The sequence below is a fragment of the Homo sapiens genome, chromosome 8, assembly GCF_000001405.40.
Source record: "Homo sapiens chromosome 8, GRCh38.p14 Primary Assembly".
NCBI classification, from domain to species: domain Eukaryota; kingdom Metazoa; phylum Chordata; class Mammalia; order Primates; family Hominidae; genus Homo; species Homo sapiens.
This window is the reverse complement of record NC_000008.11, coordinates 70,543,270-70,559,788: the sequence shown is the minus strand read 5'-3', so window position 1 is coordinate 70,559,788 and position 16,519 is coordinate 70,543,270.

Genomic DNA, 16,519 nt, shown 5'->3' with positions numbered 1-16,519 from the left:
AAACAAGCAAATAAAAAATTTAAGAAGCTTAGGTCCATGTTATACTCTCTTTTGTGACTATTAGTAACTTAACTTTGACCTAATTTAAGTTTACTGAAGAAAACAGTCATATTTTGAAGATCCAAACTTCAATCAACTCAAGTGATAAATAGCCTTATTGATTTCAGTTATTATGAATAGTTACACAGTGGTAAGACTAGCTAACCAGAGTTCAAATCGTGACTCCTCCACTGATCAGCTCTGTGTGATTAAATGTCTGTACCACAGTTTTCTGTGGTAATAACACCTACTCCACAAGATATGAACATGAACTGTGCATAGCCCTATGCCTGATGTTTATTAAATGTTAGTTGCTAGCTCATAAGGTTGTGACAAACACAGCAGTAATTGTCACTGCTGTTACCACTTTTCTGTTTTATGTTGAAGTTTCACAACACTGTTCAGCATTCATGCCATGCAATGCAAGCACAGTGTTCCACGACTCTACTCTGGAGCAGATGGGCCAATAAAGTTGCAAGAAATGTTCAAGCCAACATTACAGCCAGCAAAGTTACACTGAATCATTGGATGACTGTGCAGGCATGCTTCACCAACACAAACATTCATAAATCAAACATCCAAGTCTGTGCTGAATCATTTATACCTATGTGATATAATAATTATAAAAGCGAGTTGTAGGTATGGTTTCTAAGGAATGACTTTTTAAAGTCAGATATCTATGGTTTATGGGGCCATATTTCCATTTAGCTGATGTATATAACTTCTAGAGAATTTTTGGCTGCTTGGAGTTGCCTAACCTTCCAGTGTAAAGAATCAAACTTCATTAGGTAAATGAGAACGTTACAACACAATGTTTATCATGAAGTTTGAACTGATATCATAAAATGTCCTAGAATTCACATTTCTCCAAGTGGGCTGGAAGGCCTGGATGTGACAGTACATGGGGCATCCACATGTAAGTGTGGGTCATGTGTGAAAGAGTGAAATCTGAAGACTAAGGTACATACTCTGTTGTGTCCTTGCTGATTGCCTTCTGAACTAATCCTTTTCTCTTCTTATATCAAATATAAGAAAATACGGCCAGGCACGGTGGCTCACGCCTGTAATCCCAGCACTTTGGGAGGCCGAGGCAGGTGGATCACCTGGGGTTGGGAGTTTGAGACCAGCCTGACCAACATGGAGAAACCCCGTATCTACCAAAAATAAAAAATTAGCCGGGCTTGGTGGCGCATGCCTATAATCCCAGCTACTCAGGAGACTGAGGCAGGAGAATCGCTTGAATCCGGGAGGTAGAGGTTGTGGTGAGCCAAGATTGTGCCATTGCACTCCAGCCTGGGCAACAAGAGCGAAACTCCATCTCAACAACAAAAAAAAGAAAACACAGTAAAGTTACTTATGAGAACAATTATAATTTACCTAGCTCTGTCGCTCAGGCTGGAGTGCAGTGGCGCCATCTCAGCACACTGCAACCACCACCTCCTGGGTTCAAGCAACCCTTTCACATCGGCCTCCAGAGTAGCTGGGACTACAGGTGCACACCATTACGCCCAGCTAATTTTTGTATTTTTTATAAAGATGGGGGTTTCACCACGTTGCCCAGGCTGGTCTCAAACTCCTGCGCTCAAGCAATCCACCTGCCTCAGCCTCCCAAAGTGCTGGAATTACAGGTGTGAGTCACAGCACTTGGCCTATAATTTAATTATCAATGCAATTTAATCAACCTCATCTAAGTCACTAGTGACCTCAGGATCACCTATAGTGGTCCTTTTCCATTTCAAAGGAATGACAACATACAAACAATGTGACACCGGTTATTTGTCACTTAGGTCTGAAGGGAAAATATCTATACTGTATATACTAAGTAAATGAAAAATTAAGTATGGTTTTTAAGAAGTAAATTCAATTCTGTAGAATTAAGGCCTTGAAGACTACCAGGAATATGTTACAATGATTGGTGGTTGTATCCATTTGTTTTGCATTGCTATAAAGGAACCCCTGGGGCTAGGTAATTTTTAAAGATAACAGGTTTATTGGCTAATGGTTCTGCAGGCTGTACAAGAAACATAGCATCATCATCTGCTCAGCTTCTCATAAGGCCTCAGGAAGCTTTTACTCCTGGTGGAAGGTGAAGGGGAAGTAGATGTGTCACATGGTTAGAAGGGGAACAAGAGAAAGAGGAGGAAAGTTCCAGTCTCTATAACAACCACATCTCACACAAACTCATTACTTTGGGGAGGGCACAAAGTCATTCACAAGGGATCCACCCCCATGACTCAAACACCTCCCAGTAGGCCCCACCTTCAACATTGGAGATCACATTTCAACATAAGATTTGGAGGGGACAAATACCGAAACTATATCAGTGGCTTACCTACACCCTAATACATGTAGGAAGCTTTAAAAAATTCAAAAGAGATGTGAGGCTGGGTTCAGCTTCATCTTCAAAGAGAAATTCCATAACTGCAGAATCATCAATCATTCTCTGGGAACAGAAAGCCCTAGTTGAAACCTAGAAGTCATTTCTTTGTTGATATGGTGAGTCAACTCTGTCTCAGTGCAGAAATACTGGTTCGAAGGAATGAGATGGAGAAGGACAGATAATTGTTAGCAAAAAGAAATCTCTTTCTGAAGAGATAATACTCTGCAGTGATTTTCATTGAAATTTACAAAACATCTCTAAATATTGGCCTTTATACAGTAAGCTCAGGCTTATTCTGCTATTATATAGCAACTTAATTTTGCATGACCTGTGGTGGCGGGGTTTTTTTTTAATTTGTTTTTATGAAGGATCAAACAGAATAAGGAATTTTTGTTTGTTTGTTTGTTTTGAGACCAGGTCTCGCTCTGTTTCCCAGGCTGGAGTGCAGTGGTGTGATCACAGCTCACTGCAGTCTCAACCTCCTGGGCATAGGTGATCCTCTTGGCTCAGCCTTCCAAGTAGCTGTGACCACAGGTGCACACCACCACACCTGGCTGATTTTTTAACTATCTGTAGAGATATAAATAATTTGCAGATGTCCCTATGTTGCCCAAGCTAGTCTCGAACTTCTGGACTCAAGTGATCCTCCTGCCTCTGCCTCCCAAAGTGCTGGGATTACAGATTTGAGCCCCTGCGCCAGGCCAGAATAAAGAACTTTAAAAAGCAATGCCATCTTGTAACTTCAGGTTTAAGTAATCACTGCTCTCCTTGTTTTACTGTATTTTGATGAGTATCAACATTCCGATTACAGTCCGGCATCTCTTAATAGGCAATGCCAATCATACCCCATTATATATTGCTGTGGAGTAAATACTCAGTAGGGGCTACTGCAATCACCAGCCTAATTTTCCACTCACACTCCATTCATGTCAGCACTTTAGTCTCCAAAGGTAAGAGCAGCTGTATTCGTTATACTCATCAACCCAGCTGCTCTTATTTGTTCCTTTTCTTTTTTTTTCTAATGTCCCCACTTCTCTACTAAAAGAAACACTTTTGCCCTGTGATTTTTTTTTTCAGTTGGTTACTTCAGCTGATCTTTATGTCAGCTGATCCTTATGCAGTATTTGCCCTTCCATCTAAAATTGTGTTCTTACATACCACAATTTCCAGTTCCAAAGAGGAGACCCCCACACTGCTATGGTTTGCTCTGACGGAATGGCCAAAGTGGGGGAACAAGTTAAAAGTGGGTCCAGAACTTTGCTCATTTATATGAAAGTTTGGTCTTAAAAGTATTGGATCAATAAAAGTATTAGAAATTAATTTCTTCTTGATATTTTTAATTGCCTAAAAAAACAGAAGTTATCAGTTGCATGGGATGTTTTGTACTTAGTGATTCTCATTTCAGAGAAGCTTAGTTTTAATGAGTTCCTATCCGGAAATGCTCTGACTCCCCTTCAGTTCTGCAAATGTCTGTTCCTGAGAGGATGGTTCACATTAATTACAGTGTCTCTTCATCTTCCCCTGCATGCAGCAGGGTTCAGCACCTTGCTTTTGAAATGAACGAAATGGGGAAAGGATGCTTGCCTTTCATACATCCTAGTATTATATATAGCACAGGACCTCTCCTACCTCAGAGTCCCCACAATAACCTCCCACAGCCCAGTCTTTATCTTCCACAATCTTATTTATTTTGAGGCAGGATCTCACTCTGTCCCCCAGGCGGGGGTGCAGTGGTATGATCAAGGCTTACTGCAACCTCCACCTCCCAGGTTCAAGCGATCCTCCCACCTCAGCCTCCTGAGGAGCTGGACCTACAGGCGCACATCACTACGCCTGGCTATAAATGGTGCATTCTTGCTGTGACAGCAAGGACATGGCAGAAAGGACAAGGCAGCTCTCTGGACCTCTTTTATAAAAACACTAATCCCAATCATGAGATCAGAGCCTTCATGACCTAATCACCTCTCAAAGGTCCCACTCCTAACACCATCATCACCTCGTGGGGGTAGGATTTCAACATATATATTTGGGGGGCATGGTGATATAAACATTCAGACCATTGCTACAAGGATACTGTATTTTCTTTTTTCTAAATGTGCTCTCTTCATACTTTAGCATTTCTGAAATAAAAATGGGTCTTTCAGTAGCAAATTTCTCTTAGTGGCCTACAGCATAAAGACTTTTTTTTTTAACCTGATTGTTAGGGTTTAAATGTTTGTCTCTTCCTAAACTCATGTTGGAATTTAATTTCCTTTGTAATAGTATTTAGAGGTGGGATCTTTAAGAGGTGATTAGGCCATGAAGACTCTGCCCATATAAATAGATTAATGTTAATATGGGAGTGGGTTTCTGATGAAAGGACAAGTTAGGTCAGGCATGGTGGCTCATGCCTGTAATCCCAGCACTTTGGGAGGCCAAGGTGGGAGGACTGCTTGAGCCCCAGAGTTCAAGACTAGCCTGGGCAATATGGTGAAACCCCACCTCTACAACAGATTAAAAACATTAGTAGGGCATGGTGGCACATGCTTGTGGTCCCAGCTACTCAGGAGGCTGAGGCAGGAGGATGACTTGAGCCCAGGAAGTTGAGGCTTCGGTGAGCCATGGTTGTGCCACTGCACTCCAGCCTGGGTGACAAAGTGAGACCCTGTCTCAAAATAAATAAATAAACAAATAAATAAATAAATAAATAAAAAGACAAGTTAAACACCTCTATTTTTCTCTCCCTCTCTCTGTCTCTCTCTCTCTCTCCCTCTCTTTGCCTTTATGCCATGGAGTTATACAGCAAGAATGCCCCTGCCAGATGCTGGACCTTCAGTTTTGGACTTCCTAGCCTCCAGAACCATAAGCCAATACATTTCTGTCTATTATAAATCATCCAGCCTGTGGTATTCTGTTATAGCTTCACAAAGTAGACTAAGACACTGACGAATTCTTAGATTGCATGAAATTCAGTATATATTGCTAATATTTATCGATGGATAAGTCCCAGTTGGTATTTTATGTGCTTTACCCCCATCATTTATAAACTCCACAAGGATACCTTGAATAGTTGGGGATCATCCTATTAACACTGTTTTATAGAAATTGAATCTCAGAGGGGTCAAGTGACTTAGTAAGTGGCAAAGCCAGGTTTTGCACATGTCTGTGGTGGAGCCTCTGTTCTTCACTGTGTCCTACCACACAGTCTGGCAAAACAAGGACAAGACTGCTTAGAAGATGTACAAAGTCCTGGCGTGGTGGCTCACACCTGTAATCCCAGCACTTTAGGAGGCCGAAGTGGGTGGATCACCTGAGGTCAGGAGTTCAAGACCAGCCTGGCCAACATGGTGAAACCCTGTCTCTACTAAAAATGCAAAAATTAGCCAGGCATGGTAGTGGGTGCCTGTAATCCCAGCTACTCAGGAGGCTGAGACAGGAGAATCACTTGATCCTGGGTGGTGGAACTTGCAGTGAGCCAAGATTGAGCCACTGCACTCCAGCCTAGGTGACAAAGCGAGACTCCATCTCAAAAAAAAAAAAAAAAAAAAAAGAAGATGCACAAAGAGGTCGAACATGGTGGCTCACGCCTGTAATCCCAACATGGATAACCTGAGATGAGGAGTTTGAGACCAGCCTGGCCAACATGGCAAAACCCCGTCTCCACTAAAACTACAAAAATTAGCCGGGTGTGGTGGCAGGCGCCTATAATCTCAGCTACTTAGGAGGCTGAGGCAGGAGAAATGCTTGAACCCGGGAGGTGGAGGTTTTAGTGAGCTGGGATCACACCACTGCACTCCAGCCTGGGCAACAAGAGTGAGACTCTGTCTCAAATCATTAAAAAAAAAAATAGAAGTCACAGAAACTAAGCAAGAGGACTTCAGGGAATGAATGGTTGGCAGTGCCAAAAGTTTCAAAGAAGAAAAAATACAAAGCCTAAAAAAAGTTCATCAAATCTGTTTCCTAGAAAGCCATGGGTGCCCTCAGTGAAAAAGAGCAACAGGTGTCACCAAGGGGTTCCCTCTGCCTCACTTTCACGCATTTTTCTCATGCACCTAAGGTCAAGAGGATTGGGGGTTGGGGTGGATCTTTGTCTGGTCTGGTCCCCCGTGGGCAGCAGATGCTGGACTCCTCCGAGCACATGGGAAGAGACTGTGAGTGTTTTCCTGGCACTGACAAACACCAACTCTGGCCTGTAGAAGACCTGGATGGGAAAAGTGTGGGGAGGGTCGCTGGGGTACTGGGACATGCCCAGCACTTCCCTCACTGGGATGGGGAGGGACTGCTTCCTCCTCACTGGGAGCTGAGCCAGGACCTTTCAGGCATTGCTGCAGGCATGAGTTTTGAGGACAGAGTTTCACACAAATCTGCCACACAGGAGAGGGGGTGATGAATCCCCAATGGCTGGATGTGCTCATATAGGCCTACAGCTTGGGAATGCCCGCAACAGGGCACCTGAGAAAAGAGGACCCCAGACAGGGTGCCCTTTCCTCCTACTGCCTGGCAGGGCGGACCCATGAAGAGTGCAGCAGCTGCTGCATCTGGAGACTGCCACAGCCTGTGCCCCCGACCCAGGAGTTTTGATCATTTCACTGGTCATGCCTCAGTTACTAATATAAGTCAGTTCTTGCCATTGAAAGTGACTTTGTATGGCCTACAACTGTCCTTGCAAGCTATAGGGACCTGCCTGAGATTATATCCTCAGGAAGGAAAAGATGTAGCCCATAGAGTAGGTTGGGAGGGACAATGAAACTAAAGTGGCTTTGATCCAACCCTGTCAAACCCAATTCACTCAATACAAAGGTTACAAGCAAGAATTAGAAGAACAAAAAAGCAAAACAAAAGACGACGGCAAGTACTGTCACCAATACAGCTATGTAATGTCTTTATTCCAGACATTGTGCCAAGGCATGGAATATATAGGAATGAATAAGACAGGCACAATCCCTGCTCTCACGAGCTTAAAGTATGGCATAAAAGAAAAGTGACCATGTATAAAAATATTATGACAACTTGTAAGTGCCATCACAGGAAAAGGCAGAGCTGTTATGAGAGAGCAGGATGAACAAGATGGCAGGCCACTCTGGGAAAGTGGCATGTAGAGAAGGCCTGGGTAAGCACAACTTGGACAGGTGAAGAAGGGAGGCATCCACCCATGATAAGAGTGTAATCAGGCAGGGTAGGCAGGCAGACCGGATCTCCAGGACAAAGCTCAGAGCCAGGCCTAGGACTCCAGTTGGCGCCCTTTCCCTGATGGCAGGGCATCTCCATATCCTCCTCATCTCACAGTTTCTTTCCATCGTGAGCATGCCCTACAGGCCTTTACTGTGCTGGATCTAGTGAAAAAGTATTGATGTGGCTTGGCTGAGTCCCCACCCAAATCTCATCTTGAATTGTAGCTCCCATAATTCCCACATGTTGTAGGAGGGACCAAGTGGGAGAAAATTGAATCATGGAGGAAGTTTCCCCCATACTGTTCTCATGTTGGTAAATAAGTCTCACAAGATCTGATGGTTTTATAAAGGGCAGTGTCCCTGCACACACCTCTTACCTGCTGCCATGTAAGATGTGCCATTTCTCCTCCTTGCCTTCTGCCACGATAGTGAGGCCTCCCCAGCCACGTGGAACTGTGAGTCCATTAAACCTCTTTTTCTTTACAAATTACCCAGTCTCAGGTATGTCTTTATCAGTAGTGTGAAAATGAACTAATACAAGTATATTTATCTTTTCCTCTCTCTTATTTTCTCAGCAGGTCTTTCTCCTGGAAAGACAATGGTGAAACCAAAATTCCTTCGGACATTCCCAGCAATGCTTGTAAGTCTAGTGGGTAAATTGTCTGCTTATTTTTCAGCACATGTAACTAGTGTTCCTTCATTCCTCCTCCCCACATGTATTGAGCAGTATTGAGTGAGACCTTGAAGCTTGGCAAAAGAGATAAGAGGATACATAAATAGTTCTATAGGAGTGGGCAGGAGGAGCTTGTATCTCAGCTGGGAGGCAAAGAGGAATGGCAACTGGCTTCCAGGGACAAATACTGATTGCAAATTTTCTAGCTCTGACTTGAGTCAGAACAAATGACGACATGAAATCAACGAAAGGAGATCTGCTCCTCGACCCTCCAACAATCTGGGTGATGGGCTTCCACTTTGAAACTAATGCAAAGCCCATCATCTTTTAGGCCAGTGCTTAAACTATAGTCAGGGGACCAGTTCCTGCTCGATTCTACGAACTGTAGAAATTCTGCAATGAGATAAGTACAGAACAAAATAAGCAATTACAACTTTGATGGCAATTGGACAGAGTAAGTTTGTGTCTCTTGAATCTAGTAAAAAGAATTGAGCTTGTGATTTATATGCCATTACTTTTTATTTCATTTTTTAGTAGTTTATTTTATTGTATTTTTAAAAATATTGACCCATGATGGATTGAAGACAAAATAGTCCCTCCCCACAGGTGGTCTGGGATGCACTGTTCTGAGCCATAAGTGGGCTTTGAAGGCACATCACTCGCAAGCACAGTGGGTAAACCCAACAGTTTCCTGAGGAGCCTAGGAATACTCGCAACAAGACAAAAGGGAGCTTGGTGCCACCCAGCAGTGTTGCTCATGCAAAACACAGAGTTCTCTGTCTCTGTCGCCCAGGCTGAAGTGCAGTGGCACTGCAACCTCGCCTCCTGGGCTCAAGCCAACCTCCCACCTCAGCCTCCCAAGTAGCTGGGACTACAGGAACATGCCACCCCACCTGGCTATTTTTTTTTTTTCGGTAGAGACGGGGTTTTGCCATGTTGCCCAGGATGGTCTTGAACTCGTGAGCTCAAGTGATCTGCCCGCCTCAGTCTCCCAAAGTGCTGGGATTACAGGCATGAGCCACTGCGCCTGGCCAGAGACACAGAGTTCTTGAGCAGATTCTTGAGCAGTGCTCTCGATTTCTGTGAGCAGGAAGCACAGAAAAGGAGGCTGTGGAAAGTAGAGTACACTCCCCTGGAAAGTCAGGCAACAAACCCTTATTCCAGAGTGGAGACTTGCTTTCACATGAAATCCACAAAGTGGTAAGCTGGCCAAACAGACGGCCTGAGTGCTACCTATGATGTCTTCATAGCCATGTGCCATGCCTGCTTCTTCTAACTTTAAGAGAGATAAAGAATCCTGAGCTTACATAGACACAAATCATGTGGCATAAATCCTCAAATGGCCAACTCTGATTAAATAAAATCAGGGGCGGGTGCAGTGGCTCACACCTGTAATCCCAGCATTTTGGGAGGCCAGGGCGGGAGGATTGCTTGAGCCCAGGAGTTTAAGACAAGCCTGGGCACACAGCGAGACCTCATCCTACAAAAAAATTTAAAAATTAGCCAGGCATAGTGGGACACCCCTGTAGTCCCAGCTACTCGAGAGGCTGAGGCAGGAGGATCACTTGGGCCTGGGAGGTCGAGGCTGCCATGAGCTGTGATTATGCCACTGCACTCCAGCCTGGCAACAGAGTGAGACCCTGTTTCAAAAATAAAATAAAATAAAAGCAGGTATTTTTTGGTAAGGAACCAACCCTCCAAAGTCACCAAATTTACCTGCTTGGATACTCTTACAGTGACTAAGAGATAGGAGGTCTGCTGTTGGCCTGATTTTTCCAGAGATGCCACAGCATCCCCAGGTAGAATGCTTCATTGCAACACACAGGCTTCCAAAGGTCCAAGGGCTCACTCAATGAGCCCTCCCTTCCACACTCACAGGTGATTGAAACTAACATGTCCCAAGGTCAGAAGATAGAGACCATTCTGGCTAACACGGTGAAACTCCGTCTCTACTAAAAATACAAAAAATTAGCCAGGTGTAGTGGCAGTTGCCTGTAGTCCCAGCTACTCGGGAGGCTGAGACAGAAGAATGGCATGAACCCAGGAGGCGGAGTTTGCAGTGAGCAGAGATTGCGCCACTGCACTCTAGCCTGGGCGATAGAGCAAGACTCTATCTCAAAATAAATAAATAAATAAATAAATAAGAAACTAACGTGTCCTTAGTGTCTTTAGTGGACATTGTCATGTTTCCATTATTTGTATTCTCAGCTGTTCTCATGTCTTTAGTTGGTGTCTTCCTTAGACTAAATTAGTTGGATTTTTGCAGTCAGAAAAATATACTTCCTGTATCTTTTCTTACTTTTCTACATGTCTATTACATCCTGTACCTGGTGGGTTTTCAGTAAATGTTAACTAACTCAAATTAATAAAATGATGTAAAGCAAACAGCATGTTCCTTTTTATTTTGCACTTTAGAAGTACATTTATTTTACTTGCTGATTTACTCTGTTGTTCAAGGATCCATGAATTTGATTTAAACTTTTAGATATTAAAGAGCACAGAAAAATAATACAAAATATAGTTAATTTGAATCTCCTGTGTTCTGGTATTATGCCCACCCATAGATCTTGGCACATACATGTCAATACGTAATTAGCTCAGGCAAAATCCAAGCTATTCACCCACTTGAGGAAGCCTCAGCTGACTAGATTTCTTTATGGGGAATTAAGAAACTGAGACCTGAAGCACTTGTTCTTTTACATTCTCTTTTCTTTCTTTCCTTTTTTCCTTGAATTTCTTGAAAAATATCCAGAAAGGCTCAGTTGGAAACTAAATGTATTCTTTCTTGTAGCAGCAAAACTCAGCCACAATATTTCATGGGCAAGCCCTTCTCCCCAGCTATGAATCTGGAGAGAAAAAGAGGGGCATGACCAGGCCAAGGGAGAGACAGTGGAAGAGAGAAAAGCGCAAACTGTGGGAGCAAACTGCAGCCACCACTGCAGACACACCTCCATTTCATGGAGACCTGGCAGTTCTGAGGGCATAGAAATTTCATTCCATTCACTCATCATCCCTTTGTCTCCTTCTCTCCTGCCTCCACCCATCCCACCCCGATCTTTGCTTAGCCAAACTCACTTCCCTTCTCATAGAGAAAAGAAGGAAAATTGTTCTATTGAGGGTTTGTTAGGTTAGGTTCTGAATTTAGGGTCCCATTTTTAGCAATGTTACCCCATTGCCGCTGTTAGTATCCCTACAAACTTAGCAAGTGAAGTCCAACAGTTCCTTGGAGAAAGACCCAGAACTCTTCAAATGCAGCATCTCAGTCTTCCCAGGTGTATTAGTGTGTTTTGTGTTGCCATAAAAAAACACCTGAGATGGGGTAATTTTTAAAGAAAAGAGGTATATTTGGCTCACGCTTCTGCAGGCTGTACAGGAAGCATGGTGCTAGTACCTGCTCAGCTTCTGGTGAGGGCCTCCGGAAGCTTTTACTCCTGTCAGAAGGCAAGGGGAGCCGCTGTGTCACATGGCATGAGAGGGTGCAAGAGAGAAAAACGAGGAGGTGCCACGTTCTTTTTAACAACCAGCCCTTTTGGAAACTAAGAGTGAGAACTCACTCAGTCCCACGAGAAAGGCACCAAGGCTTTCATGAGGGATTGTTCTCCTGTGACCCAAACACCTCCCTCCAGGCCCCTCCTCAACACTGGGGATCAAATTTCAACATGAGATTTGGAGGGGACAAATATCCAAAGTATCTCACCTGGTAAGATTATACCTGCACTAACTAAATCCTTTGAGAATTACAGTTGTGTTTTAGAATCTTGTTATAACTTGTTCCAAAAAAGATAACTTACACATTTGGTGATGCTCTCACAATGCCGGTTGGCAACATTACTGTTCGTATCATGAGTGAGCACAAGCCATAATAGAAAAGGTAAAGTGAGGGAAGGGAACCATAAAAGAGAGTCCAAATAAGCAGAGCACAAATCTCTAGAATTGTGCCCTTTCTCAAATGGCCTTATGAAAACTGAGAACTGGGCAATAGGGAAAAAAAAAAAAAAAAAAAAAACGAAGAAGAAATGAACTTTGCCTATTCCTTCCTATTGCCTTTGTTTGGTTTTCTGAGAAATGTGTTTTGTAGCACAATTATAGTATATTTGCTATCAGCAGAAGCTTGTAGAATACTTCCTTCATTAGTGCTCAGAATTTGATTCAACAATTCATCTTGAAATCAGAACTTAATTACCTGCTGTGGAATGACATAGGTTATATAGGATTTTCTCTTAGTAATCAGAGAAAGGATTATGATTTTTTTAAAAATCAAGAAACGGAAAGCGATAGAAAGACCGAGAGAAAGAGAGCTAGAAAAAAATGAACACCCAACTCTAATTTCTGCTAAGGTGGGGCCCAGTTGCTTGCACAATGTCATGCTTCTCATTAATAGGTGTATGTGAGGGTGCAGTGAATGTCTAGGTGAGATACATGATGCTTTCCCAAGTCTTTCAGAAACTTTCTTAATTCGCCTCCCAGAACAACCCCTCCCTCTTAGCTATCTGACCATTTGCAGCAAGAAGTGGAGAATGAAGGGTGCCCAATAAGATAGACCACGATTGATCTAGATTGCACACTAGCATTAAACCTTGCCCTGAATTTCAGGAGCAAACATCTGTCTTCTTTCTAGGAAAAGGTCACAGCTCTCTAACATCTTCCTGGCCAAGGACTTGTGCTCCACCTCACTCACAGTTGGAGATCTGGAAGCAGATCCAGAATGGAAGAGGTTGCTAACACTGAAAAGTAATCCTCTGTCTACTTTAATGATTGTGAGGCCAGTGAGGGTTGAGGGTTACTGAAAAACACATCAAAGAAAGTGACAGCTGACCAGATGCTCACATTTGACAAAGAAATGATATGGAATGATAAAGGAATGAAGAGAGAACATTCCCACTCTGCCCCTCACATGGAAAACCACTCACATGGAAAACCCCCTCACATGGAAAACCACTGTTCCCCATTCTGTTTCCTTCCCAAAGCGATTCTCTGCTTGTAGAGACACATCCATACTATATGCAGATTTTTTTTGCTGGGGAGTGTGGGGGTGTGCGCAGGGGGTTGGGATTGTTACCAAAACTTGGATCATATCTACAACTTGCTTTTTTCACTTAATAATAAATTGTGGACATTTTTTCAGGTCAGTATAGAGAGAGCTACCATTTTTTCTTATTAGATGCTTGGTTTTCCATTAATGGATATTCCACCAAAATCATCATTTAAATCATTTCCATTATTTGTATTCTTACAAATAATGCTGCAATACGTATGTGTGTCTATATATGTATATATTCATACATTTTTACATATTTGAAGAGAGCCCAAGAAATGGGACTGCTGGTTCATATAGTATGCATTTATCTTTCCAAATTGCTGTATTACTTTAATAACCAATACTTGCCCTTTTCTTCCTCACCTGCATCAGTCAGACATTATGTATCTTTTGAATGTATGCCAACAGATGAAAAATTTACCTCTTTTTCATTTGCATTTATTAAATTACTAGCTTAAGTAATATATGTTTATAGATCTGTTACAAACTGAATTTTGTATTCCTCCCACCTCCCACCTCCACCACCAATTCATATACTTAAATCCTAAACCCCAATGTGATGGTATTTGGAGGTGGGGTCTTTGGAAGATAATTAGGTAATGAGGGTGGAGCCCTCACGAATGGGATTAGTGGCCTTATAAAAAGACACAAACGAGCTTGCTATTTCTTTTTCTGCTCTCCACCATGTAAGGATGTAATGAGAAGGTGCCATCTGCAAACCAAGCAGTAGACCTGCACCAGACAGCAGATTTGCTGGGTCCTCAATCTTGGACTTCCCCGTCTCTAGAACTGTGAGAAATAAATGTTGTTTAAGCCTCCCAGTCTACGGTAATTTGTTATAGCAAACTGAACTAAGAAATTCCTTGAATTTCTTCTTAATGAATTGTTCATTTATATCCCTTGCTCATTTTTATTGTATTTTTCTTATTAATTTGTTAGAGCTAGTTATATTTCAGAGTTATTCATTTTTGTCTATAATATTTGTAATAAATAATGTCTCCCAGTCTGTTGCTGTTTTTTGTACTTTGTACAAAATATGTTTTGTACATTTTTCTTTTGTTGAGGAAAAGGTTTTAAATTTATGAGTCAGATCTGTCAATCATTTCTTTATAGTTCCCAGGTCTTATGTGTGTCTTAGGAAGATCTATCTTGCCTCCTAAATATGCTCTTCTTTATTTTCTTTCTTTTAAATACACACTTAATATGTTTTTAAAATTATAAAAATAATGTACAAGTTTATACTAAAATGATTCAAATAACACAGATGAATAAACAGTAAAAATTATTTTCACTGTTTACTCTTCCTAGTCTATTTCGCTTTTTTCCCAGGAGATAACCTCCATTGGTATGGAAGACATTTTTGCCCTATCACATGGATTCATACTTTATCTTATTTTCCAAAAGGGTTTAAGACTGTTTTTTTTCTTTTTTTTTTTTTCGAGATGGAATCTCGCTCTGCCACCCAGGCAGGAGTGCAGTGGCACCATCTTGGCTCATTGCAAGCTCTGCCTCCCGGGTTCATGCCATTCTCCTGCCTCAGCCTCCCGAGTAGCTGGGACTACAGGTGCCCACCACCATGCCCGGCTAATTTTTTGTATTTTTAGTAGAGACGGGTATCTCTGTGTTAGCCAGGATGGTCTCGATCTCCTGACCTCATGATCTGCCCGCTTTGGCCTCCCAAAGTGCTGGGATTACAGGCGTCAGCCACTGCGCCCGGCCTAAAACTGTTTTCAAAGATATTAACAACATAGAAAAAAATATATTGTAAATTTCCTAGGAGTTAATGTGATAAAAGGGGAAATGATCCATCCTCATGAGATAAAAACAAACCACATGCTCATGAAAAGCATGATTTCTAATTCTGAGATCTGAGAACAACGTCTTATTGGGAGGACTTGGTAATGCAATGAACAAGATCCTCATAGTAATCACAACCAATATTTCATTTAGCTTTTCTTACAATAACATTTAAAGTCAATGGCATCATTCCATTTAATCAATTTAATATGAGTCAGTATCAACACTTACATGTTACCCCCACTCTGATAGGCTAAATTTTGAGTGATGGATTTATAACACAACATTAATTTTATGAAGACAGGAATCAGGGAAGGCCGCAAAAGTAAAAGTACTACAATCTTTGCCTTTCATGAAAAGTGAGTTAAAGTAATTGTTTTTACTGTGATTTTGATAATTAAACAGACTTATGAAAATGGTTGCAGATTACTTTACAGTAACCATTAGTAAAACTAAAACCAGATTTTCTACCCTCCAGATTATTGCAAAAGGCAAGTGAAAACAAAGTTCTGTTTATACTGAAAAGAGAACTGAATTTTAAAAACAGCAAAGGAACCAAAACAAAACCACAAAATCACATGACAGTGGTCAAAACAATTATGACAATTTAAAACTCTTATTAAAAGGCAAGATTTATGGGAATGCAAATTGGTACAATCACTTTGTAAAGTTGTTTAACACTGTTTTCTAAAAATATGCATATTCTGTGACCTAGCAATTCCATCCCAAGGTATGTTCTGAACAAAAATGCATATATAAGCTAGCCAAAATGCACACAATGAGTGTTCATGGCAGCCCCATTTGAGATAGCCCTAAATTAGACAATACCCAAAAGACCATCAATAATAAGTAGAATATTATTCAGCAATAAGAATGAGCAAACTACAGCTACATCCACCTATGTGGATGAATCTCCCAACAATAATGTTGCATGAAAGAACATAGACACTAAGGTACAAGAATGAATCCATTCATCTAAAATTAAAAATCATTTAAAATTAATCTGTGCTCTTACAAGTGGCTACCCTTGTAAAGGCTAATGACTAGAAGGAAGTAAGAGAAGAGTTTCCGGGATATTCTTGATTCAAATGCTGGCTCACAGCTTTGTTCACTTTGTGAAAAATCATTCAACTGTACACTTAGGTCTGTACTTTCCTGGATGTATATTATTTTAATAAAAATACATTTTAAAAACAACATTCAGTGACTTTCTGTGTACAAGAGAACACAACTTGCACAAAATGAAAAAAAACTAAAAGTAAAAGAATTAGAAAATAGATTGGCTTTTTTATTTTTTGAGACAGAGTCTCACTCTGTCACTCAGGCTGGAGTGCAGTGGCAAAATCATGGCTCACTGCAGCCTTGACCTCCTGGGTTCAGGTGATCCTCCTACCTCAGCTTCCCAAGCAGCTGAGACAACAGGTGTGCATGACCATGCCTGG